At 49.9% G+C, this 26,196-nt stretch overlaps 2 protein-coding genes across 43 annotated transcripts in view, besides 1 other annotated feature; one reads left to right on the top strand and one right to left on the bottom strand.

Moving 5' to 3' along the window:
* RIC3 (RIC3 acetylcholine receptor chaperone) overlaps window positions 1-20,475 on the top strand; it is a 76,061-nt gene extending 55,586 nt beyond the window's left edge. For 11 of the 33 annotated variants that reach the window (NR_144497.2, NR_144484.2, NM_001135109.4 and 8 more), the window contains one exon: window positions 2,303-7,384. Coding sequence is in view for 12 of the 33 variants with exons in the window: in NM_001135109.4 (NP_001128581.1) it covers window positions 2,303-2,742 (440 nt within the window). In the remaining 21 variants the exon portion in view is untranslated. Of the gene's footprint in view, window positions 1-2,302; window positions 7,385-14,100 lie in introns of those variants that run through there. The other 22 variants (XR_002957195.2, XR_002957192.2, XR_930901.4 and 19 more) reach the window with 9 other exon arrangements.
* Window positions 7,197-26,196, bottom strand: part of TUB (TUB bipartite transcription factor) — an 86,999-nt gene continuing 67,999 nt past the window's right edge. For 5 of the 10 annotated variants that reach the window (NM_001440538.1, NM_003320.5, XM_047427517.1 and 2 more), the window contains 11 exons: window positions 23,779-23,830; window positions 23,209-23,371; window positions 19,251-19,394; window positions 17,775-17,942; window positions 16,634-16,755; window positions 16,015-16,212; window positions 15,614-15,726; window positions 14,565-14,682; window positions 12,839-12,937; window positions 12,443-12,614; window positions 7,197-11,954 (listed from right to left, as the gene is read on the bottom strand). In NM_001440538.1, the coding sequence (NP_001427467.1) occupies window positions 11,821-11,954; window positions 12,443-12,614; window positions 12,839-12,937; window positions 14,565-14,682; window positions 15,614-15,726; window positions 16,015-16,212; window positions 16,634-16,755; window positions 17,775-17,942; window positions 19,251-19,394; window positions 23,209-23,371; window positions 23,779-23,830 (1,483 nt within the window). In that variant the 3' untranslated portion in view covers window positions 7,197-11,820. The remainder of the gene's footprint in view (window positions 11,955-12,442; window positions 12,615-12,838; window positions 12,938-14,564; window positions 14,683-15,613; window positions 15,727-16,014; window positions 16,213-16,633; window positions 16,756-17,774; window positions 17,943-19,250; window positions 19,395-23,208; window positions 23,372-23,778; window positions 23,831-26,196) is intronic. The other 5 variants (NM_001440539.1, XM_047427514.1, NM_001440540.1 and 2 more) reach the window with 3 other exon arrangements.
* Window positions 22,846-23,346: an enhancer, noted in NCBI's record as "H3K4me1 hESC enhancer chr11:8111641-8112141 (GRCh37/hg19 assembly coordinates)". NCBI's record gives its function as "activates a minimal SCP1, AML or CMV promoter by ChIP-STARR-seq in primed H9 embryonic stem cells {active_cell/tissue: H9 hESC(primed)}" and the evidence as "EXISTENCE:reporter gene assay evidence [ECO:0000049][PMID:30033119]".

Raw genomic sequence — 26,196 nt, 5'->3', positions numbered from 1 at the left:
GGGCCCGGAGTCTGTATCTGCAGGGGCCAGCATGGAGGCTGGGTCTGTGGGTGCAGGCATTATGACTAGGGATGCAGAGCTGGACTGAGGCCTGGTGTTGGGGTAGGCTGAGAGCCTGAGTCTGGGTGACCTTCCCTCTTAAAGCAGATAGTCATGAAAATTCAAAGATAAGCTTTGTTCTAAGTGTGGGAAGACAGGGACATGCCAGCAAATGGACTTCTTTTAAGCATTCAGTGGCTGGGAGCTGACTAGCAAGCAGCTTCTCCAGATCCTATCCTTGACCATGGTGGCTGAGGGTCTTGGGTTAGCTAAGCTCCACTTTACCTAGCATTCCATCCGCAGTAAGTTAAGCCTTGGAATAAAGACTGCATTGGCAAAATTCTTAACATACTACTGTGAGTGCTGGTGAGGGTGTCATAAGATGGACAGTCTTTATATCACTGGTAGGATTGAAAATTTATACCACTCTTCTGGAAAGTAATTTGGCACAGTATAAAAAAGGCTTTTATAATGTCCATTCCCTTTGGTCTAGTTTTCATATTTATAGAAGTCTATCTTAAAGAACTAGGGAAGTGGACATAGATTTATATTAAGAAATCTTAACTTGTATACTACTTATAATAGGGGAAAATTGGAAAGAATCTAAATGCCCTAGAAAAGAGGACTAGTAAATCATGTCAGTTATGTAGCTATATGATGAGATATTTTGCAACCAACTTTCAAATGCCTAATGACATGGAGAGATGCTCATGATATAATGTTGAATTGAAAAACATCAGGATATAACCTTTTATACACAAATATGATCCTTCTTTTTAAAAAAGGGGAATAAGAAAATACATGTTGGCCGGGCGCGGTGGCTCATGCCTGTAATCCCAACAATTTGGAAGACCGAGGTGGGTGGATCACCTGAGGTCAGGAGTTTGAGACCAGCCTGGCCAACATAGTGAAACCCCGTCTCTGCTAAAAATACAAAAAATTAGCTAGGTGTGGTGGCATGCACCTGTAATCCCAGCTACTCAGGAGGCTGAGGCAGGAGAATCACTTGAATCGGGGAGGCAGAGGTTGCAGTGAACCGAGATTGCACCACTGCACTCCAGCCTGGGCAGGCGACAGAGCGAGACTCCGTCTCAAAAAAAAAAAAAGAAAAGAAAAGAAAAGAAAAGAAAATATATGTGTATATACGGTTAAAAAAAGACCAGAAAAAAGCAAATTATTATGAGTGAAGATATTATGGGTGATTTGTGTTTTCTTTTTTAAACTAGCCTGTATTTTTTTCAAATTTTCTACAAATGAGTCTGTATGATTTTTATAGTCAGAAAAAGCAGTAAATGTAGAAATGTCTCCACACACACCCTACATTGCACCAAAAAAGACTTATTTGTCACAGTTGTAGGCAAAAAATGGTTTACGTTAGGGTTGAATTTGCCAATTATCATAATGGGCAAATGGGTTCTGAATCCTCCAGCTTTCTGCACTGTATCGTGATTACGGCCGCTGGTGCCAGTACTGGTGTGTGAGCTCCAGCACGGCCCATCTGCTGCTCAGGCTTGCTTGGCGGACACAGATTTATTTCATTTAGTTTGGTAATTTGGCAACAGTTTCTCTTTTCTCATTATCCTAGCTGGGATTCAGTACCAGTGTTACTCATTTTGTTTGCCAGTTTGTTGTTTTCTTTTGTTCCATTTTGTGAAGATGAAGAAGCCAACAACAGGAATTCTGTCTTCCGAAAATGCAGTGCTTGTCCTTTCGGGATCTTGGGCATGCCTTGCTAAAGTGCTCTCTATTTTTGACACTTGCAAGCCATTTCAATTGTTTGGATAAATAGAAAGCTTCATGGTGTATTTTTCAAAGAGCTTAGCATTCCTTTCCTCTCCCCACTCCACCAAGGAAGATTTGGAAATTGTTCCAAATAGAAATTATAAACATTAGCCTGGAGCTGTGCTGTCTCTGTCTGGTTTTGATGCTTTTTTTGTTTTAACTAAAGGCTCATGTTGTTTGTTTAATCTTCATCAGTACTGCAAAAACACATGGTATAAGACTTAACTCTGCCCCAAGCACCCTACACATAAGAAGGGATTTTCATCTGAATTAGTTTGTATTTCAAAGAGCACTGGGATAGCCAGATTGCTAAGAATTTGCTCAAGTAAAACTTTAGAACTATTGGAATCTTAGAGATGTCTTGAATGGATTTGTTAGGATAGGATGGCTGCTGCCTGAGAATCCTCTTTGAACCTGACACTATTTTTTTTTTTTTTGAGGAGACATTCTTTGTAATACTTTGTGCTACTTTTCTCTCTAGGTTACCCTGAAGAGACTTACCCAATTTATGACCTTTCAGACTGTATCAAGCGTAGGCAAGAAACAATCTTGGTGGATTACCCTGACCCAAAAGAACTTTCTGCTGAAGAAATAGCTGAAAGAATGGGAATGATAGAAGAGGAAGAATCAGATCATTTGGGTTGGGAAAGTCTGCCCACTGACCCCAGAGCCCAGGAAGATAATTCTGTTACCTCGTGTGATCCAAAGCCAGAAACATGTTCCTGCTGTTTTCATGAAGACGAGGATCCTGCTGTCTTGGCAGAGAATGCTGGATTCAGTGCAGATAGCTACCCTGAGCAAGAGGAAACCACCAAAGAAGAGTGGTCCCAAGACTTTAAAGATGAAGGGTTGGGCATCAGCACCGATAAAGCATATACAGGCAGCATGCTGAGGAAGCGTAACCCCCAGGGTTTAGAGTGAAAACAGCCAGTCTGAAGTATCCATTACTCAAGTCCCAAGGTGACCTCTCTCTCCTCAGATTTCCTTCTTGGCCCTGTGCCCTGCACTTTCTTCACTGTGTTCAAGTGTCATAGCTATCAGGCCACTATCATGGATATCATGTATCCTTCCTGGTGCTCACACACCTGTCACCTTGTAAAACACGGACATTAGTGTGAACACAGGACAGCTTCGCTCTTTCTCTTCCTGCCTTTCCTCTATCAGAGAAGTTGATCCATTAAGTAATTATGTTTGGTCTATTGTAATTACAGATGGGACCACTCAGGGGCAAAGGTCTGACTCTTCCTGGTAGGTGTAACAGATAGTTCACCTGTGAACGAACATCAGCTTACAGATGATGAGGACTTAAGGTTGCAAGAATGAAGATTTCAGACTCCAAGATCCCTTATTCTTTGGGCCTTGAGCAGGTTAGTAGTCCCCTGGTGAGAAGAGAACATTTTGTTTGTGGGGCTAATGGGCCCAGAGGAGGGTAAGACTCTGCTGTCTAAGCTGAAGCCTCTTCCTCGCAGCGAGGGTCTTCCTAGGAACATTGATGCTGCCTCAGACATCCTCTTTTCTCCAGAGTAGGGAAGACTCCCACTGATCTGAGAATGAGCCCAGAGGCTTGTTTGGGGACTGTTTTACTCTGATACTACCTGGATATCTAGCTTCCTTTACCCCTGTTCTGCTTAACAGAACTGCCAAGCCCAGAAGTACCTTTGCACTCCTGGTTTTCAGTGGACAGAGGAAGCTTTAGATAGAGACTTTAGACCCTGCCCTGCAGAGTCAAGACTTGAGGCCATTGAAGCTGCAGGAAGCCCTGCCCAGGGATGGTCCTGCCATGAGGAGGCTGCAACCCTATAAGAGGGCTCAAGATTGTGAATTCTGCTCCTGCCATGAGGAGCTCAGAAGGCCAGGAAGCCAGCAATAGGGGAGAGAATCTGTGTGCTTATGGACAGTCCTTACCTAAAGCTGTTTCTGAATGTTGCACCCTTTGAGAAATTTCTTCTCAGAACCATAAATTGAAACAAATGAGGACTGATCTTGTATACAAAGTGCCAACTCAAGAGGGAAGTTGGAGTATGTCTGTTGCAGAGAACCAATATAGCAGTGCCCAGGGGTAGAGACCATGTGTTCCATACTCGGATATTTGGGTCTTTTTGAGAGAGCTGGGGAAAGTAGCAGCAACTAGATTAAGACTGGGAGGATTTTGACCAAACTAAAGGCCTTTTCTCCTTACTGCATCTGACGTGTGTCTTCTTGAGACAAGATAGCACCCATGAATTACATCATGAGGTATGTGTGAATTCAGTTTACATGTAAGACCTGAGAGTTCGAAGAGGGCACATTCCCAAAGACATTCCCAGTCATGAAATGTAGAAGACTGGAAAATTAAGACATTATGTAAAGGTAGATATGGCTTTTAGAGTTACATTATGCTTGGCATGAATAAGGTGCCAGGAAAACAGTTTAAAATTATACATCAGCATACAGACTGCTGTTAGAAGGTATGGGATCATATTAAGATAATCTGTCAGCTACTACTAGGCATTTATTGTTAATTGAGTTACAGAAAGTCATTCAAGACTGAGTTTATAGAAAGCATATTGCATCTATCTCTGTGTAGAACATTTGATTCACATTGTGAAGAATGCAGTTTAAAATATACTGAATGCAATCTAGATGTATTGTACACGAAAGGTGAAAAATAACAGGTGCTCTTTACTGTTTAGATAAATTGTTTTCTGTGTTATTTCCCTTCGTTCACTGTGAGGGGTTGATTCATGAGGAGAGCCCTGGGTTCCTGGCTCAGGTTTACTTTTGGCCTTAGGATAGGATTCCCTTATTAGAGATAAATACTGCTGTTCTCTTCTAGCTCATTCATTCATTTAGCAGTCAATTGCTCAGTGCCAGGTGCTAGGAACAGAGGCTCAATCTCTACCCTCAGAAAACTCAGTGTGACGAGAGAGAGCCTGACAGATAAAATGAACTATGACCCTGTAAGAGGGCTCAGGATCGTGAATCCTGCAGGCAGAGAAACATGAGCCATAATCTGTCCCTGCATTTTCTAGCTGTGGAATCTTGGGTCAGCTCCTTAACTGGTCTGAGCTTTGGCTTCAGGGTAGTAAAGGGAGGGGTATTAAAGGTCCTGGTTAAATGAAATCATCAGTGTGTGTAAAACAGCATTGGTTCTAGCTCATACATGATAACCACTCATTAAGTGGTAATTATGTTTTTATTATAAGGGCTATGCTGTAATTCAGACATGGGCCCAAAACTACAGGAAAGATAAATTGTTTTTGCTAAAGTATTGCCAAGAAACTTCACAGTTTCTTGGGAGGTGGGCCTTGAGGCATGCAAAGAACTTCTTCAGGTAGGCAAAGAAGAGAGGACACTCTTGGCAGAAAGAGTTGTTGAAAAAAGCAGTAGGGTGTGAAAATACATGGATGTTCAAGTATTTTGGTGAGGCTGTTATGTAAAGTGTTGTTGGTCTTTGGGGAAAATTGGCTTATGGAAATTCCTGCCAGAAGTACTAAGCCCTTATGGTGGTTCTTCCTGCCCTAGCTCTTGGTTGGTTTATATATAAGGAATATATTTGTGTATTTATATATCAGACATTTGGATGTACCTTTCAGTTATTTAGGATTTAGAAAATTCTTTTTGGATTTTCCAGAATTATTTTATCCTTCGGGGATGACAGTTATATGTGTATATACAACCCAGGATGACAAAATCATGGGTCCGGTTTTTGTTGCCAGGGCTGCTGTCTCTTTTCTTGCGGTCTTCATTTCTCACGAGGGTGCTGGGAACTTGATCAGTCCCCTGGCCTTTTGGCACTGTGGCAGAGTACACAAGTCATACCTTTATGGACAGTTAGCTCACAAAACAACTGCATAATCTGGGATCACTCTTGGTAAATCAGGTGGGTGGTGCAGCCAGGAGATCCCCTTTCCTGGTCACAACAGGAGCACAAAGAAACCATTATCTCCATGACTAGCTCCAGAAGCTGGGCCCAGGGAGTCGTGATGAGGAGTGGAGGTGTATTTGGCCTGTAGAATCAACGGCCTTTGAGAACCATACAATGCACCTTATATGGCTTGGGTGATCAAATAACTTAAGGTCCAAATTCAAACACTTTGGAAAAAGGGAGCTTTAATATAATTATGCCAAGGTGATAGGCATAAACTAAGACTGTCCTGGACGTAGGGTCACCCCTGTCTATAGCCATTTAAGATTTTTGAACCTGATGACTAAACAAACAAAACCCTCTTTCCTTTTTAGAATATCCTGTATGCGCTATTTCCCACCAGAGGCAGAGGCCACAGGAGATAGGCCATGGTTCAGGTAGGAAATGCTCTTGGTCACATCAGAACTCTAGATCTGGGGGAATAAACAAACCCGAATTATTACCACACTCTCAAAGTTCTCTTCAATCTGGACTATTTGTATTCCAAAGAAAAATTTAGTGCTTTAGCTATTCAGCAATATTGAGAAAAAACATGAACACATTTATGACTTTGCCTTGACCATTGACTTTTCTAAAATGTGCTTCCTTTTCCTTTATTTCCCTTTTTTTATACAAAGAAAATAGCCCAAATTTCTCCTCTTAGGTCATTCCTTAACCTCTCAGAGAACCAGTTTCCCCATGAATTGGGAATAATGCTCTATTTACAGGGCTGTTTGGATTAAATAAGATGCTGTTTATAAAGTGTCTGTGCCAGGGCAAAGCATGTGGTAGGTGCTTGGTGACAGCATGATCCCTGTCACCACTCTGTCAAGTCCAGTGTTGCTGAGATGTCACACCTGACACCCTCTAAGGCTACCCTGATTGCCAGGAGTGGCCCAGGGCCCTTCTGCAGTCTCCGGGTGCCTTTAGTTATAACCTCTTGTCTGGGTCAGACCATTAGCTTTCATGTCTGCTTCTAGCTACAACTGTAGCCTCCCTTCCTTTTGCCTTCAAATCTGCCACAGCTGCCCGGCAACAAAAAAAGATTCCTAAGCATCTCGAGGTCCTGTTTAAATGGGTTAGGGTCCAAGCAAGCCCTGAGACATCAAGTGGTTGGGTCTTTTATACCTTTTTCATCTCTACAGCCCTGTTCTCTTCCTAAGGCCAGGCCCACAGGGGATACTGAGGAACCACCAGCCCCTTCAGGCGGCACAGCAGACCCTGAAGAGAACTGCTCTAACTTAAGTACCTTCTGACTTCACCATTTTTCCAGCCTCTGGGTGTGGTTCTGATGAACCTTAAACTTGAAAGGCACAGGCCAGAGGAAGGACAGTGTTGACCCACATGTCATTGGTGAGGTTATGATCTCTTTGCTATTATCACCTACTTACCCACCTGAGGCTCCTAGGAAACAATGAATGAAAGGTATAGAAAAAAATTAGGAAGTAAACAGGGCTTTTTTCCCCTTTATGAAAAAAGTACACAGAAGTGTTGAAACGATTCAAGTTTAATTTGTTGATATATGTGTGTACTTAGACAAACACTAAATTCTACAACATACATAATGTCAACATGGGAAAATACCAAGTTTGTCATTGCACATACCAATAAATAAATACATTTGCTCCAGAATACCAAAGTTTATTCAAAAAGTCAATAAAAGCACAGTTTTGCAAATTTGTCTAAAACGCCAGATAATCTTGAACAAAAATAAAATGTCTGACCACTCCAAAATAGGAAAAGACAATCTTGTGCAAATAGACATACACAGTCTAGGCATTGTGAAAACTGGCTGTGTTCCCAGCAAGAGATACTGCACCCTCCTGACCGAGCAGTCAGGCTTCCCTTTCCTAGCCATCCTAAGTTGCGTTCTAGGAAACTCTGGATCTCAGCCTCATCTCCAGCTTTGCCTGGACCTTGCTAGGGGGAGGGAGGGACAGGAGCACAGAGGAGGAGAGGAGAGGGATGTGATGTCTTTCTTAGGAAAGAAAAAAAGGCACAGTGATGAGCTATAAAGGTAGTGATGAGAGCTATAAAGGTAGTGATGAAAGCAAGGAATAATTTTCATTCACCCCAAATCCTACGGCAAGCTTTGACAATGTAACATCTTTATCTTGTGGTTAGGAAAATGGACCTAGAGAGATTATGTGGTTTGCTCAAAATCACATAGCTACTAAGTGCAGTAGTGCTTTCTATAAGACCAACTTGCCTTTCCACTTGGTTGGAAAATTTAAAAACCAAACCTGTCGTAATCTATCTGTTCTGCCCCTCCCGCCTGTATCATGAGATGACTGAAAATTCCAGGTGGCCATAAACTCAAACAAGAGCCTAGCCCTTGGCTTATTACCGGTGGCTACTACAAACCTACAGACCAGAGCCCAGGGTAGTATAGAGTCCCAACTCTGGGCCCTGACTGCAGGTCATTCAGGTCCCAGTCACAGTGAAAGCAGACTCATTCAGCTATCTGGAGAAGTGTAATCTGAGGGCCACTTGGCATCCTGAGTTAACACAGGGATGCCGCAGCTGGGGTAAGGAATTAGAGAAGGGAAGGCCAGTGTTACTGCAGTAAGAGAAAACCAGGAAGTCCATCTAGGAGATGAAATTTGTGCTTGCATAACAGAGCCATGGAAATGGCTATCCCAGCATCTCCCCTCACTGCAGACTCCATTGTAAGCAAAGCATGGACCTTTTTCTTTGAAACCAACCCTGTCACTTGTTAAATTTAGAATTACCTCTAAATGCTAAGTTTATTTAAGAGGTAAATGTCCTGCTATTTTCAGAATGGAGAAAAAAAAAAAAAAACAACCTTCTGCTTCTAGAATTTTGTGCCCTACTTGTCACTGAAGGAGGCAGGCTCCGAAAGTTCTCTTATAGCTTCTGATTATCACAGTCCTGGCTTCCAACACCTGTGTTCGCCATAGATCTGGACATTATGTGCTTCCTCTGAACTAGTGTCTTGATTTTTAAGGCACATTCACTAGAGTATGTTCAATTTCAACCAAAAGCATACGTGCAACATACCAGTTTTTTCAGGCAATGCAGAGCGGGAACTGAAAAGCTAACAACATTCTTGGATGGTGTCCTCTGACTCAGAACCCTGAGAGAAAAAGCTGGTATCTTCCCAGGTATACCTTCTGTTCAGAGAGCATGAGATGAATGGACAAAATCCACAGGCGATCATAACAACATCCTTATTCCTTTCCTACTCATTCATTCTCAGGAATATAATCACAATTAAGAAACCTCAGTTGATTGCTGATTGCCCTTTTCCCCAAATAAACACACAGACGCACAGACACACACATACACAGACGGACACAGAGCACCTTGGAGCCAGAAGGAAAGGAAAGCTAGACTTGGAGAAGAGTTGGGGAAGTGAACTTCACCACTCTGCAGAATTGTTCTGGGGCAGAGGGTGTAGAGTTTTGGGGTGTGGCCCCAGAAGCGGTTACAGAGAAGCTGCCTAAACTCACTCCCAACTGCCCAATACCATTAGGGACTGCTCATTCTGTCATTAATTCCCTGCCCAAAGACCATCCATCCAGGTAGAGGGTATGAAGGGCAAGAACTCTTATTGTGGGAGAGGCTGAACCCAGGTGGTTTCTAGGGGCCCTAGCAGCTTTACGAGTCCATGCACCCATGGCCCCAGGGCCAGTGGTCAAGGAAAACCAGGATCACCAGGAGTGCACTCAGCTACTGATGCTTGTCATTCAATGCCTGACAGAGTTTTGTGGCTGAGGCTATCCTTCTCCACACTTAGGCTAGAAAGCTCAGCCTGTCTTTCCTGACTCCACCAAAAGATCCAGCCAACTCCCTCTTTGTGCTACAGGAGAAAGCAGAGGCCAAGAGTTTTCCTTTGTGCTTCTGATTTTTCCACTGCCACCGGGGTCTCCGTCTCACCAGAACTCAGAACCAGCCTGTTCTATCTTAAAATCATAGATCCAGAGAAATAGCTTGACCTAACATTAGAGACGATCTAGTTTCCATCATCTCAAATGTCACCATGAAGATCTCTTCTCCTTAAAGGCAGGGAAGGGCTAAACTGGAACTATAGAAAGGAGGATGGCACCATGGTATCTCGCCAGCGCTGGCACAAAGTTCTAGTGCCCTCTAGAAACTGGACCATGTTGCAAAAGCTAATCGTTGGAGGGGGTCTCTCACAGAGATGTACGGCCGAGGTGTGGGCAGATCCTGCTAGGACAGGTATGCCTTGCTTTAAGCATTCAACATAGGAAAATCTAGATTACAAAGAAATGAGAGCATATTACTTCTACTTAAGTCAAAACAAGTCCTTCACCTATAAAGCCTAACACGTTTAAAATACAACTTCTATTTTAAAAAATTTCTACTTAGCTTTTCCAAACATCTACTCTAAAGCAAGGTACGACCCCTGCTTGCTTCCCACCAATTTCAGATCTCTATCTGGGCAAGAAGCCTCCACCAGGGTAAATGACAAATGAGCAAAAGCTTGAGCTTACAGTTCCCAAGCCTGCAGGGTGGATGGTGCCATCCAAGGAGAAATAGCGGTAGTGGAGGGAGTTAGGCTCAGGCCCAGCCCCAGAACCTTTATGCACTCTCTCCCACCTAGACCGAGAAGTGTGCAGCAGCCGTACTAAGGCCTGCTTACTGCTGAGTAGCCCTCGCGGAGGGGCCAGACACAGGCCAATCCTGGATCATACTCACGTGCAAAAAGCCAGACAACTTTCAACAGGGAACTGCCTGATTTCCTACTGGAATGGTTTCAATCTAATTTATCAACTCTGATGCTTCTAAGTCTCTGAATCGGGGGAAGTGGGGAGGGCATGCAGAATGGGCCCCCAGGAGGCCAGAGATACTAGTTTCTTGGGGGACAGTGGGAACAAAGAAATCAAGAGAACTTGAAGTTCTGAATGCTGCCATTAACCAGCTAGGTGACCCAGGGCAAGCCCCATTTTCTGAGTGTGACTCACCTAAAGCAACAAGGTTGTACTAGATTCCTAAGGGTCCTGCCACTGCTGATCTCTTGTGGTTCTAAAATATTCCCTGCTTTATTCACCCTGTCCCATTCCCTCCCAAGAACCTACATGGTTACCAACCATGACTTGGCTGACAGCAGTGAGAAAGTTGGGTCTTTCCAGAGAGAGAGAGAGAGGAGAGATTCTTCAAGGAGCATGCCATGGCTTGGGAATGGTTCTCTGGCAGCAGGATTCCCAGGCATGCCTAGCTGTGTGCAGTCAGGCTGGTGACCTGGACCCCATTTGTGTTTCCTGGGGGTTGTGCTGGGCTGCTCAGCAGAGAGCTCCTGGGGAAGCTGACAGGACTCCCAGAACAACCCTGATCCAGGGACCCTGTTCATGCACTTCTGCATGCTGAGCCTGTGTCTTGCAGGGCCCATCCACCAAGACAGCCCTGAGAGCTGGGTTCCTACTGCCTCTGTGAGACACAGCAAACCTGGAGAAATCAAATGCGCTAGAAACCTAGCCACCAGCTGATTCCCATAGCCACAGCAAGCCAGGCACCTGCAATCCTGACAGGGTCCTGCCACTTACCTGTCCCCACCACCCTCCCAACTTCTCTCAGGCTTGAGTGAGGCCTTCTGAAGTTGAAGGGCTTTCTGCAGTTGTTTAAGGGCCAGGCTTGGCCACCAAGCCCTTTGCTACATAAAGTTGATGTGGCCTTCATACATACACACATTCACTGTGCCCCTACCTGCTGGAGTACCCATTGCCATCTGACTCCTTGGCTGAGCGGACGACTGGGCCACAGCAGCCCTGCAGTGTGCTTCCTCTCCCTCTATGCCTCTTGCGGCCTTCCCAGCTGAAGAGGTTGCTCAGCTTGGTAAGTACGACTACAACACACTACTACCCCAAGGGTGGGAGTGTGTGTTGATCTCGTGGCATGGAAAGAATTATTCTCATCCCTTCACACCCACCCACCCGCTCTCCACTACTCCCCTGCCTCAGTAGCAGAGGCAAAGGAGCCAGTTCCTGGCTGGCTGGGCCAGGGAGCCCACTGAGGGCCAAAGCTTCATCTGGCGGAAGGCCTATATACAGAGGATAGGCAGGGCTGTCTCCACAGGCAGGCAGGCAAGCTCCGCTCCAGGCTGGGCAACCCCAAAGGGCACGAAGAGGCCTCTACTCGCACGCCAGCTTGCTGTCGAAGCTGGACAGGGCAATGGCAAAGGCCTGCAGTGCACACAGCGGGTAGTTGTAATCCATGGTGAACACATCCTCTGCTACCCGGCCAAACTGCATCACGATGTAGTCCGCTGGGGCCAAGCACAGGCACAGACAGAGAAAAGGACAGGACAGGAATGGTAGAGCCAGGGAAGGATAGACAGACACCCAAACCACATGAGGGAAGAACAAGTGAGAAGCAGAGATGCCAGGGGAATCACAAAGGGAAGTAAAACAAAGGCCAATTGGGAGAAGTGGCAGGAAAGAGGTGGCAGATGGCAAAGGACAAAGTAAGATGCATGTGAACACCAGGGGACAGAAAAGAGGAAAAGTCCTTTTAAAGGGTGTTCCCGTGCCTGAGACTCCGTTGAATACACAGAATCTAGGACCAGGGCTGCAAAGAAGGTTCTTCCAGGACCTCCCAGTCATTAGGGTTAGAAAGTTCCATACATCTAACCTTAGCTGTATAGCTCACATTCTTAAACTCTAGCCAGTGTAGGCAGGGCTAGGTGGGCTGAACCCTACGCTAAGGGCCTTGGGTATCCTACGGACCATAATGAGTAGGGACAGAAACACTCACGGTCATTGCCATGGATGATCTGGAAGTTCTTCACGGAGGCCTGTGTGACGCGCCCATGGAAGTTGAGTACATAGGACTGTGTGTCATCATTCCAGACAGGTGTCTTGTTTTGCAGCTCGATGATACTCTCCGTGTTCTTATTCTGCCAGCGTGCTAGCAGTGTCTCATGCTCCTGGGAGGGCAGCCTCACCTGAGCCAGGCCCAGGCCTTTGGCACCATGACCACCCCAGAAAGGGATCTATCCCGGGAATGGGGGTCCTTGGATTTCCCTAGACCTCCAGGGCTTTCTCACATGGTACCCCTCCACATACACACATCAGCTGGAGTTCTGCCCTTAGAAGCTCATGCAGAGACTAGGATGATGGGGAAAGAGGGGAGGAAGGGGTAGACACTCACGTTGCGGGGGCGGATAGAGACTCTCTCATGAACCATGTTCATGCCTGGGACAATCACGCTCATCTTCCGAGGCCCCTTGAAGCCTAAGACGTTTGTCTCCTGGGAAAGAGAACGCAACACTGGCCACCTGAGGCGTCTATTTACCTACTGGAGAAGGTGGGGGGGACGGGAATAAAGAGGAAGAGCTAGTTCCCACCATCTCCACTCCGAAGTCTAACACACATCCCTCTAAACCTAACACGGCCAGAACTGAGCCCCTGGGTCTCTACCCTGCCAGAACTAGCTCCTCTTATGCGTCATCCTTGCTTCTGCTCACGGCAATGCTGTTCTTCCACTCGCTCCGGCAAACTACTTGGTCACACTCGAGTCCTCTCTTCTACATCCTACGTCTAATCCATCAGCAGTTTCTGTCAGCTCCACCTTCCAATTATACCCAGACTTCCACCACTTTTCACCACTAGCTTCTCTCACCAAGATCATTCTAACAGCCTTTGCCTGGACTCCTGGTTTCTGTTGTTGGCCCTCCTATTCCTCCTTCCCACCATCTGTTCTCAACACAGCAGCCAGTGCTCAGGCACATTAAGTCAGATGATCTTTCTCCTCTGCTCAGAACTCTCCAGTGGCTCTCCAGCTCACTCCAAGTTAAAGCTGGAGATGTGACTTCACCTGCACGTGGCCCCATGACCTTCCTCTCCTCACCATTTACTGCCTGGTATCCACTCCATTCCTTCTTCATGCCAGGCATTCAGGACTTTTGTCCTCACTGTGTCCCCTAGACACGTACACTGCTGTTTTTCACTTCCTTCTGGTCTTTACTCAAGAGCTACCTCAGTGACGCCCTCCCTGCCATTCTGAAATTCTCACACATACCTTGACATTTCTTATCTCCCCTCCCCTACTTTTTCTTCTTAGTGTTTATAAAGAACATACTTACTTCACTGATAGATCTGTTTCATAGCTTGTCTGCCCTGCTAGGGCTTTAAGTCCCATAAAGGTATACATTTATGTCTGTTCATTACTATATCCTTAGTGCCTCAAACAATATGCTTAGTTGGAGCTCAGTAAGAACTTGAAGACTCAGGCTGCCTCCCCAAAACTGGTCAGCAGGTGGCACCACAGGATCATACAAAGTAGCTGTGGATTACTTACTGATGGCCTCCAAGAAGTGCCCATGCCCAGGTTGATGAGATACCCACCCCTGATTTTAAAAATGAAGAAAAAGGTTCAAAGGGGTAGAGTAATCCCCTATATTTATATTCCAGTTTGGTCGTTTTTGAGCTGTGTGACATCTGCAGCTGAGCTTCAGTTTCCTCATCTATAAAGAAAATAGGATCTACCTCTTAGGTTGAACGTTCAGTGAGATGACAAAGTGCCGTGTAATCCATGTAGAACCTGGCATGCCAGAGGGATGATCTGGGAAATGCACAGACAAGAACCCAGGGCGACCGTCTCCTTCTGTCTAAGAGACTCCTGGCCTGGACTGCAGAGAGCCAGGCCTGGTTTTCTGAGCTCCCCAAGCAGATGGCCGGCTGTGGTGTGAGCTCTGAAGTCAGGAGGAGAGAGCCAGAGCCCCTGTCCTAGGCCAGGAACACTCCACAGAGGACAGCCCCTCTCCACACAGCCTTGTCTACCCACTAAGATGGATGGGATAGCCCCTAGATCAGGCATCAAGTCCTGGATTTCATATCTACCTTGGAAATCAGAGACCCCCGAACCTAGGACTCACGTAGCACACAGCTGCCAGCTCCTGACGTAAGGTTCCACTTTCCAAAGTGGAGGATGAGGCCTTCTGAGGGTTGACTCCATTGTCATAAACAGTGAACTTGGTGCCCATCAAGTTGGACCTGAAATAAAGGCACAATCAGTATAGAGTCATGCACCCTCTGCCCCAGAGCAGGGAACAGCTCATCGTCTGTCCTATGAGGAGCCTGCAAAACATTCTGGGCTGGAACAGGAGCAGGCCCAGGGAGGCATACTGCTCACTGAATCCACATCTTTGAAGACACTTCGTGGGCAGAAGGCCTGGACTTGCTCTGAGTTGACTCAAAGTGCATTTCAGTTCAGTGAGAGCAATTCAGGGAGGTCAATCAGGATTCTTCAGAAGATTTATCTGGGGGAACATGGGAGTTCTCCTCATGGGAGGTGAGCAAACAGAATGGCATCTGATAAGACAGTGGAAGAGGCTTAGCACCCGTGGAGAGAGGATGAGATCTCCTCTGTCGCAGCCAGCCTAAGTCTCAGTCCAGCCCCATCTCCAGCTTTAGCTCCTGACCTCTCATCTTTATTTATGCTCCCCAAATCTGGTACTCAGTTCCTCAGCAAACCCTACCTCCCCACTGCCCCCACCTGGAGGCCTAGGCTCAGAGCCTTCCTGCCCCTTCACCACTGCCCCCCACCCCCAAGATTGCTGTGTGTCTCTTCCCTCAAGAGCTCACTCTCAGCCCTGTCCCTTGGCATTGACCATGGAGCCAAGGCAACTCTTCCATGGTGGCCTGCGTTATCAGTGACACCCTGGGGTTGGATCCATCACTCTTGGTGGGCCTGCACCCACCTCCTGGGAACAGCTTGGGGTCGGGTGTGTGATTCCCATCTCCAAGTCTGGCTCTAGGCTGGCATAGACATAGGCCTCCAGTTGGATGTGATTATCAGAGAGGATCCTGGGAGAGTATCCATCCCTGGCCTAGATCTCCTTCAGGAAGATTCAGGCCCTCTACAGACAGCTTGCCCCTGCCCCTCCCTCCCACTCCCGCCTGCTTCCTGGGGGAATGCTAGTACCGCAGTTTCCCGATATAGCTGTCCCCTCCTCGAGACAAGTCTGTTGGGTCCACAGAGATGAGGTAATTGGAAGTTTTACTCTTCTTTCTCTTCCTTCCCGCCAGGAGGAACACCTTGGGGAGTGGAATGAGGTCATATTCCAGACTCAGCCTCTGGTCTGCACACAGTCATGAGAGCCACTCACACAGACTCTCTCCGTTGCGTCAGCTCCCAAACGCACATATGTGCACACACACAAATGCACTGGAAAACACAAAGATGTGCACAGACCAGACACGAAGGCAGTTTCTTTGAGGAACTGAGAGGTCAGTGGTAGATATGAGACTTCCAGTCACATTTCAGCCCCTAGGATTTCAAAGGGCTGTAAAGCCTAGATGATAACATGCCCAGACCAACCTTACCTTCTTCCCATCCTCACGGTCCAGGTGCAGAAAGTAGGTGGGGTACATGCCCCGGTCCATCCCTTTCTTGTCCCGAGTGATGCGGCATTTGATGGTGATACCCTGGGGGGCCGGCCTCAGTGCAAACTCCTCAAGATCCTGGACCTCAACGTCCACTGGTTGCTCTGGAGCTGTTGGGCTAGGGGCTGAGGCTGCCTCCTATGGGGATGCAGAATAGGTGCCTGAGCCCCAAGGACCCTAAGCAGCCCAAATTGGTGGTCTGGGATCCAAATCTGCCTCCTAACGTGGCGGTGGGAGAGAGGGAAGGATCCTGGGATTGGGGCCTGGCCAGCCTGGGCCTGGGGTCAGAAGCTATCTTCCCAGCCCTGCCCTCAACAGTTCCTAGAGGTGGAGATGGGAGATACGGGAGGTCCTCAGAGGTCATCCTGTCCAACTGCATCTCCCCCCATACATCACCCTGCTGGCCTAGCTGAAGAGGTTAGGAGGCAAGGTAGAGGGACATAAGAGGCCAGCAGAGAAGCTCCTAAAGGCATACGAGTCCATCTCTTCACATGCAGTCCACCTCTAACGGATGAGCAGTCCTCCAAAAACTGCTGTGGATGCAGACTCACTCACTCACCCTGACGGACTTCCTGCTAGTAGCAGAGCTGGGGCGGGTGTTACTATTTAGCTGGGAGGAGCTGGAGCTATTCTCCTCCTCATCCTCCTCATCCTCGTCAAAGCTCATGCTGCTGGAGATGCCTGGGCCAAGGAGAGAAGAAGAAGGGATGAAGGAGGAGAAGTCTACGCTGCCCCTGAAATACACATGGTCACATACTCATGTTCAGACACTGACTCACCTGTACCCCCACAAACTTATGCACACACTCTTAGCCATATCTACACATATAGACTCCCATTCACACATATATTCCCACACATGTCCAGATATAAAAGGATATTCTCTCAGGTACACACATGAGCCGGGGCTGGCCACAATCCTCAGGATATATCCCCACCACCCAGTTTCAGCTCAGTCCCTACATTACCCCACTACCTAGCAGCCACCCTACCACTGTCTCTTGTGTATCAAGGCCTGCACTGAGCTCACCTTGAACTGGGAATCTCCATTTCTGACCTCAGGCCTATTAGAGGCCTTGGCTGGCATAGACCACGGAATCTGCCAGGGCACAGGCCTCAGCTCCTTCCTCAGCCCAATGTGGAGGGGACCCACTGACTCCTCATCTTTGCCCTGAGCTTCTATCTCAGCTGTCCTCCCGCCTGCCATTCCCTGGGAATGCCATCCCCATCCTCAAGTTGTCTCAAAGTCCTTTGTACAGGAAGCCATCCTTGATTAGATTCCTCACAATGTGTGGCACTGCCAGGCTTCTTCCCTCTGCCACCCTGCACCAGGGGCTCCCTAGGGCAGGGCTTGTGGTGGGAAAACTGAACAGCAGGTTTCCACGGAGGATCTACCCCGTCTCTTGGTATCCTGGCCCTGCTCCCAGTAGCTCAGCAAACATATGGGAAACTTCTTGCAAAAGGAGCTTTTTCTAAGGAGCAAAAGGAAAAGGAAATCTGCCCCCAAATCAGGGCCTCCCTGGGGCCTTAGCAGGGGCCCTGCCTAAGAGTTTCTCATTTGTCTCCGAAGTGTGCCCCACCCTCACCCACCATTGCCAGGGAGGGGTTTGGACACAGGAAGGCCATGCTCCCAGAGAAAGGTGCATCTGAGAACCTGGGACTGAGTTTTGGGGGTATCACTGGGTCCCCATGGGGCTCACCCTTCCTCTGCATCGTGGCACGGAGATCCTGCCCGCTGGGCCGTTCGCCCCCACCAGCTGCCGTCTCCCCTGCGTCCTGGGCGTGGTCTGACTGGCCCACAGTCAGAATCTGCACTGGGCCTTGGGCCTCAGACTTGTCTTCTGCCAGTGCTGCTGGCCCGCTGGTGCCTGCAGGCCACGGACACGCCTGAGTTACATCCAGGAGGAGGAGAGGAGGGCCTGGATTCTCAGACGTCCATGAAGGGGATGAGGGAAGAGTGGGGAAACCCTCTGCAAAACTTTATTTGCAAAAGTGATTTTTATAAAACTAATGATTGCACCAGCCTGTTAACAACTGGTAAGCTAGTAAGGGATGTGGGCTTCATTTCTTCTGCTCTTCCCCCAAATTAATTGCCGAGGGTTGGTTTACAACACCTCACGTCCTTAAAGCAGACGGCAGCCATCTACAAAACCAACTGCACAGTGGAAAAACAAGATGGAGAACAAGGACTGATCCAGACCATAGGCAAGGCCAGCAATCATTCATGGACACGACCAGCTACAAGCCATCAATGCTGGTGTTTTCTTCCACAAACAGACACAACATACACACGTGCAGTAACTCACATACATCATTAAAAACGTGGGCCCCTTGAGAAAGATTGCAATTGGCATACACTCGCCTTCCCAAATGGAGCATCTCCCATCCTACGTCAGCTTTCCTGCCCGTTACCACAGAGCTTCAGCAACAGAAGCAAGGCCTGACCCACACAGGTGGCAGCCACCCTGCCCGCCTACTGAGCTATGCCCAGAGTGCTCGGCCAGCTCCAGAAGCCCATGGCCTGTGACACATCACTGTCCAACCGTGACGCAGTGGCCTGGAAACCACTGTCCGTGAACAAAAGTTGAGGAAACGGGGTGTGTAGCCAAGAGACAGGACCTGGGGCAGGTACCGCCAATCACTGTCCTTAATCTTTAGGGGTCTTTTCTGGAGAAAGAGGAGCAGAGGGAACAGGCTGGTCTGTGGTCCAGAGGGTGGAACCTGGACTAGAATATGGAGTCAAGGGAAGTCCACATTATACGAAGAGCTGACGGCGAGGGCTGCATAAGGATGGGGCAAGCTGCCTGGGAAGCAGTCAGCCCCCAGTGCAGTGAGTGTCCTAGTCCAGGCTGGGTGAGATCCTCCTTGAGGGGTCATGATAAAGGGTGCTCAGGCCAAGGTAGCTGAGGTGGGGGACGGTGGTTCTGGGCCACAGCTGAGCAGGACTTCACTTCCTGGCAGTGTGGTAGGCATGCCCACACCCAGAGGCAGCCCAGGCACCTCCCAAGCTAGATGAGGCCTGTGAGCCACCTGAGGGGGTGCCCAGAGTGGCAGTCTGTGTCTTCCCTGAGGCTGTTCATCCTATCCCTCCCCTCCAAGTCAGGAGGACAAACCTTCCCCAGCCCTACAGTGGAGGCCAGGCCTGCTGGGGAGGGCTGTAGAGAATGTGAGCTGACCTTTGTGCTTTCCCTTCTTCTCCTTCCTAGCGGCGCCACCCTGGCCCCCTGCTGTAGCTGCCGCCTTGGTTCTCTTGGCTGAAGCTGGTGCTGTTGGGCGCGTGGCTCCCAGCTGCACACTGGCGAGTGAGTCGGCCTCTTGAACTGCTCAGGAAACATCCCCAGATGGAGAGAGAGAAACAGGCAGTGGGTGAGACCAGAGCTCCCACCTGAACACAGTCCCCAGCACAGCATTTTTGACTGCACCCCGAGTCCCACCAGGGCCCCTGTACCACTTCTACAGCCCACAGGATCAGGCCCACTCATCTCTACTAGGCAAAGATTCCAGGGCAGGCCCAGCTGGAAGGAGGCGGCACCCCCAGCCCAGTGTAATCAAGTCAACAGCCAGACCAAAACCTGTGATCAGCCAACAAAGTGCGCACTCAAAAGTTCTGGGCCACCAAACCATACTGAGCCTGAACAGGGGCAGGGAGAATGTCTGAGAGGATATGGCCATTGAAGACGGGGAAGAAAGAACAAAGGCTGCATCTTCTGGAAGAGACCACAACCAGGGCAAGCACTCCAGGGAGCCTACGAGGGGGCTCTGCGGGGATGAGCCCATGGGAGGCTGGGGTGTAGGAGTGCTCAGAACAACAACTCTGGGACACAAGAAGCTACAGGCACCAACAGTGAGGTCTCAGAAGGGTCCCAGCTGGTGGCCTCCAAATTCTCCATACTGCAGAACCCCAATCTGCTCAAAATCCTTGAATGGTTTCTGATTGCTCTTAAGCTGAAGACCAACATTCTCTCCCTTCCCCTAGGTCTAAAATAAACACATACTCCCCACCTCTGGGGCACCAAGAGTTGCAGCCACACCAGGCTGGTCTGTTGCCTCACATGCACTGCACTCCCTCTTGCCACAGGGCCCTTGCTCCTGCTGCCTGCACTGCCCTCCCCCTCGCCCCCCTCAGTGATCAACTCCCACTCATCCTGCAGATTTCAGCTTGGATGTCACCTCCCGAGGGACGCTGTGCCTGCCTCCCTCGTCAGAGCAGGTGTTGTCATCTACTCACAGAATTTGGCTTCCTTCCACAAAGCAACCCCGTGACCATCTGTTTAACATTGTCTCTCCACCTAGACTGTAAGGTCCGTGAAAGCAGGGACCACACCCATTTGTGCTCACTTGGGACCTACAGCCTCTAATCCAGAGCCTGACACAAACCTCAATAAATATTTAAGAACTGAATGAATGTGTAACATGAATGAGTATAGCCAGCAGGTCAAAAACCAGGATAAACTGTGAGGTCTGATGTGTATCAGACTCCCTCCTTTTCCTCTTGGAATGATCCCCTGAATTTAACGCCTGTAGCCAGTAGAGGGCAGACAGGGAGGCAACTAATGCTGTAGGCGGGGTGGGAGTGGCCTGGAAACACCAGTTCCTGGGTAGGCCACGCGTGTGTGCAGCAGCCTCCCCAGAGCTTTGTCCACCATTTGAACCTGGACAAAGACTGGGCCCCTAGAGAAGCAGTAGGCACCTCCCAGAAATCAAATGTCACATGTTCAAATGTCCTCTGTGAAAAAGGTCGTGGAGGCCCAGCCCACTCTGGAATGTCAGGGAATAGCAATTCCCTGATTTTGGACCTTGGAACACACCGTGGCTCCTTCGAGTTCCAAAGCCCTAAGACAGAGAAGTTTCCCCATTTTATAATGGAGGAAACAGATCCAGAGAGGGTAAATGGCTTGCCCCAGTCACAAGCGAGCAGGTAACTAACTGGTAGTGGCACGACCAGAAACTATCTTTTTCTTTTTTTTTTCTTGCTGGATTGCAGTGGCACGATCATAGCTCACTGCAGTCTTGAACTCCTGGGCTCAAGTGATCCTCCTACGTAGCTGGGACTACAGGCAGGTGTCACCACACCCTGCTCACTTTTTTTAAAGATGGGGTCTCACTATGTTACCCAGGCTAGTCCTGAACTTCCGCCCTCAAGCAATCCTCCTGCCTTGGCCTCCCAAAGTGTTGGGATTACAGGTGTGAGCCACCTAGCACAGAAACTGTCTTTTGACTTCAGTCCTGCACTTACGCCAGAGGCGCTAGTTGTACCACAGTCTTTCTGATGTCCTGACATCATCTGGAACACAGCTGCCAAGAAATACCTTCCAAAACGACTGCACGTCAATGACCTCTCACGATGTTGGCCTCTGGCACAAATTGGCAGGGCCCACAATCCTGGGTGCAGGCCCCTATTCTGTATGCAGCCTCACTCGCCCAGGTGCCAGGCTTGGCAGAGCTGGGGCTGTGATGCCACACAGCCACAGGCCACACGCCATATGACCCAGAACATTGGCCACCTTCCTGGCAGGGTACCACTACCACCCTTGGGATGGCACTCACAAAGGAAGTGGAGGAGCTGGCTGCCAGCAAAGGGTGGGGCTGGGGCCAGCTCTGTGAGGAGCAGCTGGGGCTGCCTCTGTGAGACAGCTGGGCTGAGGTCCCTGGTCCCCTTTTCTGAAGGCCTCTCAAGTAGAGTACAGGCATACCAGGTATGGCCAGGGTGCTGAACTGACACACACACAGGGGAATTAGCATGAAGGAGCTTTTCATCAGGGAGGCAACATAATATGGAGGAGAGACCATTTGGCGTCTGTTAGGTCTGGGTTCAAATTCTAGCCCTGCTGCTCACTAGCAGAGTACTATGAGCAGGTCACTGAGCCCCTCAGAGCCCACATCCTTACTGATGATGTGAGGATAATGAGTTCCTGTGAGGATGAAACAAGATAATGCAGGTAAAGCCTCTAGCACTGTACTTAGCCACTGGCAGATGTACAGCCAGCCTTTGTTAGAAGAAACGGAGTAGGCTTCCTCGGAGGGTACACATGCACACAGGGGACCGAGCCTGTATGGTGTGCCCAGCCACAAACTGGGCACCAGGCAAGTGAGACCCACCTGCTGCCCTCCAATGTGCAGACAAAGGGCTCAGGGAGCTATGGGTCAGTGGAACCCAGAGAAGAACCTAAAATACTGCGAGGCAGGGTATGGGCCAGCAGTTAGATGAAGAAGCTCAGCCCTGAGGTGAGGCAACTACCAGTAGTTCGATGTATCTGGAGGCTCCAGGTCATAACGAAGCCACAGAAGGAGGGGAGCACCACGACTGCTAAGGTTCTTCCTAACCGCAAAAGCCAGATGCCTGCAACCTTTTTAGAATTACTATTTGATGAAGTAGCAGCCTGGATTACTAGCACCAGCAGGGGGCAGTGGAGACTGAGTCTGAGTCCTCCTTTCAAGCTCAGAGACCCCCAACCCCTCAGTCTGGCCTGGCCTACTCTTCACCTAACCCAAGCAGGAAGGAGGGTCCTGAGAACAGAGATGTGCTGCAGCCATCTCTGGAGATGTGCTCTCTCCAGGATGAGCTGCAGAGAATTTCTCCCAACTGGGCTCTGCCGAGACCTGGAACATTTAAGGATGGGAGCTGCAGGCTCCAGGTCACTACAGCTCTTAAGGAGTTGTGAGCCAGAGAGAGGGATCTGCAAGTCAGAAGCCAGGCAGACACGGTGCAGAGAGGGAAGGAAAAAGGTGTTTGTACTGAGACACTGGTTGATATGGGGCAGGACAGTGAGACGGATTCCTCTCAGAATGTAGAATACTGGTGGGGAGCAGGTCATCTACTCTTAGAAGCTACCTCCTGCACTCAGTGAAATGCTCCAGATCAAAACTTGGACTTCTGAACTCCTGGCCTCATAAAAGGTTTAGGCTTCTGGCCTCAGTGCCTGATTCAGGAGGTGTCAGCTGGAGCATACACAGGCGCCCAAGGCTACAGGTCCACCTTCCCTCTGCCCTCCCTACTCAGCTGTCTGCCTGGGCTGGAAGCCATACACAGCCTGGGCATCCCCCGTCAGGACCAGTCCGCACCTGCCTAGGTGGGCAGGAAGTGACGGGCTCCCCGAAGCAGTGACGGGATGTGGGGCAGCAGGCAAGGTATACCTTGGTAGCTGGTGCTGCCACTGCTGCTGAGGTAGGACTCCACCAGGGGGGCTTGTTCCTCTGACTGCCGGGCCCGCCGGCTCCGGGGCCGCCCATCTGCATTGGCCTGCACCATCAGGGGCTCCTGGCGCTTCTTCTTCTGCTTCTGCTCCAGCAGGGCCCGCTATGGAGGCACAGAGGTTGGCTGACCCACTGCCTCCACCAGGAAGGGCGGGCTCCCAGTTATCGGGGGGTCCACAGCCCACCTTGGGCCAAGGCCCCATGTCCTTGGCACCCCAACACTTGGGGTCCAGGAAAGGGAGGCAAAACAGGGCCCAGGTGGCTGCCCTGGCAGGATCACAGCACAGCCAGCCCTCCAACTGCAGTCACCCAGCTGCCTGAAGGCAGGAGCCCATGTGCCGCGGCAGGGTTAGTGCTGAGCTGGGAGAGAGTGCACCTCTCTTCTTCCACATGGGAATCCCATCCCCCAATCAGACGGGATCATCCAGGGAAGATGGACAGCCCTGCCCCTCTGCCCTCAGAGATCCCAGCCCAGACTCTTCCCTTCTACCCGGCCCCAGGCCTACTCACCTGCCGATCAAGCTTCTGCTGCCTCAGGTTTCTGCCCTCATCATCTAAGACACTGCAGAGCGAAAGAGGGGTTTTCAGGGCTTGCCCGTGAGGTGCCAGGATATACAGCCCAGAGCCCACCCCCAGCATATCTGGGCCCGTTAAACCCATCCCATCACGGCTGCTGGGACTCAGTGAGCCCACATGGTAGAAGGAGGAAGGGTGGAGCCTGCCATCTTGAAACCAGCTTGAACCAAAAGGGCTCGAGCTGCCACTTTGGAAGCCTGCTAGGACCCCTGTTTCCCCAGGGACTCCCCAGTAAATACCGGATGAGACCCTCCCCTCAGATCCCTGAGCAGGGCCGGGCCTGACTGAGATCCAAGAGAACTATCCAGAGGCATCCCAGCAACAAGCCAGGCCCGAGGCCAGGCTTCAAACAAACCCAGGGGGCTGCTCCCTCCAGCTCCCTACTGGGATCTCACCAGCCCCAGCCTTTTCCTTCCTTCCCACCATTCTAGAGGAGGCTGCGTCCTCTGGGGCAGACCCTTTCCCCATCCGTTGAAAGCAAACTCCTAGCTTTCCAGGTGGGCAGAGTAGAGTCCTGACTTTGTCTACTCCCCTTCCCCACTTAAAGAGGGCAGAGGGTCCTCCTTCTCATTTGAGAGAATGAAGCTAAGAGACCAACCAGTCCCTCAGCCTACAGGGTTTGGGCCACACAGAGGTGTCTGCAGGGTGGACACAACACATCAATGTACAGCCCAGCAACCAGCTACCAGGTCCTTCCCGGGCTGCAGACATGGCACAGGCAGCCCTGGGGACATCAAATTCTTGAGCCCCACCAGTCTTGGGACAGGGAGCCTCATCTCACCCGCACTGGCCATGCCTCTGAGGAAGGCAGGGCACAAGTAGGGAACTGGTAACTCAAATCACTTAGCTTTTTGCTAGCCAGAGACACATGCATGAGACCTAGGCCCAAATGCTATAAAGGCCAAGGTGTGGACAGCTGCATGAGGTGAGGTTGGAGCCTGAGGATCTGAGCTCTGGGGAAGCCCCAGGCGGCCCTGGCCCAGTTATTCTGAAGCTGCCCCTGAACCAGACTGTGTCCAGGTTCCTGCACAGGCGTGCCCGAGTGCATTAGGTTTGTGTGAGGCCATAAGGAAGTGTGTGAATATCTCATGTGTGTGCACATGTGCATGCAGACACCTGTGAAGAAGTGGGTGTGCTCGTGTGAAGGTGAGCGCAGTGTGCGTGCAAAGGGGAAACAGGAGGTCACATCACCCTGAGGACAAAGTGAAGCCACTTTCACCTCCTCCTGATGGCTAGCCCTTTCTAGCTGGAACAATCATTGACCACCTACATGAGCCTTCAACTACTTGCACCTCCAAGGGAGCCAGTCAGAGGGTAGAAGGAAGCCCCCATAACACAGACTGCCCACCACCTTGGCCACGATCTATGAGGACTATGCATGTTTTTTAACTAGCAGGTGTCCTGCCTACTTGACATCTGGGAAGGTCTTTCCTTGTACCCACGAGCTGCTCTGCATGTCAGAGGAGCCCCAGCTGTGATCTGGGGCTGTGTGCACAACAGCCTCATTCACCAAACCCTCAGCTGCCAGAGCACAGGAGAAAACACCGCTCAAGAGCCATACTTCTAGGCCTTGGTCTTCTTGAAACAGCCCATCTGCCTAAGAGGGCACAGCTGCATTTGGGGCTCCCTGAGGGCATTGCCAGGACCACAGGATGCAACCAGGTCCCTAAATATTCCAGCTGGCTGAGAGGCTGGGCATCCCATTGTGGAAGGCACACACCCAGGCTGGAGGACTGCAGTGAAGACTTCTGAAGAAAGGGTTCAGGACCAGAGCGCAAAATGCCTGAGGGCCCTGCCAGGCCTGAGAGGCTACAACCCTCCCATCTCTACAGCTCAAGCCAACAGCCTGACTGAATAAGCAAAGTCAAAGCATTTGCCCACAGACGGACTTGAAAGGGTCAGACCCGAACACCAGTGTCCCCCGTGGTCAGCCACACGCACAGTGCATACACATCACAACTTTCAGGACACACGTGAAAAATGCAGTCTAAGCTCTGTACAGTGGCCCCTGGCTGACAGGAGCAACAGGGTCTGGAATCCAACTGTGCTCCCTCCGCTTGCCAAGCTCTGTGCCTGGGCACAGGGCAGCTATAAACCCCACTGTCATAAGCCAGTGGCCTGGCCCCTGTGCAACCTCCACAAGACAGTGCTGGCTTCCCTTTGTGCCAGCAGGAGGGGCCATTCCACAGTTTTCTAGGTTGTCGCAAGCCACTCACACTTTCAGAGGGCAGGGACTGGGCAGTCACCTGGGCCATCCCCAGCCCTGGGCTTGGCTGAGCAAGACAAAGAAGATGACTTCCATGGTGCTGACGCTCACATCTAGAGTCATTTAGAAAAGGGGACATCCAGCTG

This window comes from Homo sapiens, chromosome 11, assembly GCF_000001405.40.
Source record: "Homo sapiens chromosome 11, GRCh38.p14 Primary Assembly".
Lineage (NCBI taxonomy): Eukaryota > Metazoa > Chordata > Mammalia > Primates > Hominidae > Homo > Homo sapiens.
This window is presented reverse-complemented; position numbering and strand designations above follow the sequence as displayed.